This window comes from Homo sapiens, chromosome 12 (genome assembly GCF_000001405.40).
Source record: "Homo sapiens chromosome 12, GRCh38.p14 Primary Assembly".
Lineage (NCBI taxonomy): Eukaryota > Metazoa > Chordata > Mammalia > Primates > Hominidae > Homo > Homo sapiens.
The window spans coordinates 129,935,612-129,936,416 of record NC_000012.12 but is presented as its reverse complement, the minus strand read 5'-3'; the positions used below and the strand labels follow the sequence as shown (position 1 = coordinate 129,936,416).

General features: G+C 50.7%; 1 annotated feature.

Annotated features, from left to right (window-relative positions):
- Positions 211-380: an enhancer, noted in NCBI's record as "experimental_25552 CRE fragment used in MPRA reporter constructs". NCBI's record gives its function as "activates a minimal promoter by MPRAs in K562 erythroleukemia cells, with activity observed for both the introgressed and non-introgressed 12:130420667 variant alleles {active_cell/tissue: K562}" and the evidence as "EXISTENCE:reporter gene assay evidence [ECO:0000049][PMID:34662402]".

Genomic DNA, 805 nt, shown 5'->3' with positions numbered 1-805 from the left:
GGTGAGAATCCCAATCTTTCTACATTGTTTCTTCGAGGGCTCTTGAAGTTCTCCTTCTTTAGGGAGCTTATTGCAGTGGGATATTTCATTCTAGGCAGCTCAGCATCTCTTCGCTTTCTTTTGGAAGTAGCACACGAATTTCCTCGTTGAGAACAACTGATTTACCGAGTGATGCAGTTCAGCATCCCTGTAAACCCAGTGATTGTTAACCCGTTCTTTCCAAGTCTTTTGGGAGATGACCTTCCCCGGAATCCAAATCCTGAACTCTTTGATAAAAAGACCAAGAGAGGCCAACGTTCATTCATTCCAGAAAGTCCCTGGAACGATGATCAAATATTCGCTGCTCCCGGGTCCTCCGGGGGTGACTGTCCATACGATGTGCCCAGTCTTCCCGCTGGTCCTGCAGGCATCCCCTGATGCCTGTTCCCCGGACTCAGTGTACTCTCCCTGGCACACCCTTCTTTATGGACAACAGGAGGAGGTAGGGAGTGGAGCAGGAGCGGGAGAAAGCCACGCTGAATGGGGTCTCATTAGACTTCCAGGTGTCGAGATGGATGATTAGAAAATGAGTCCACTGTCAGTGTCAAGCGTTCCCTCATCAGGCACCATGACAGTGCAGCAAAGAGGCAAAGGGAAAATCGTGCTGGCTGCTCAAAGGTCCATCCCTCACCGAAATGCACCTGCGAGGCTCAGCTGGGTCAGCTCAGGAGCCCCAAACGAAAGGCTCCCAGCTCTTTCATTTGGACCCAGGGTTTGAGGAGAGGGAGACAGGGAAGGGTTAGAAGTGGAAAAAGACTGGATTCAA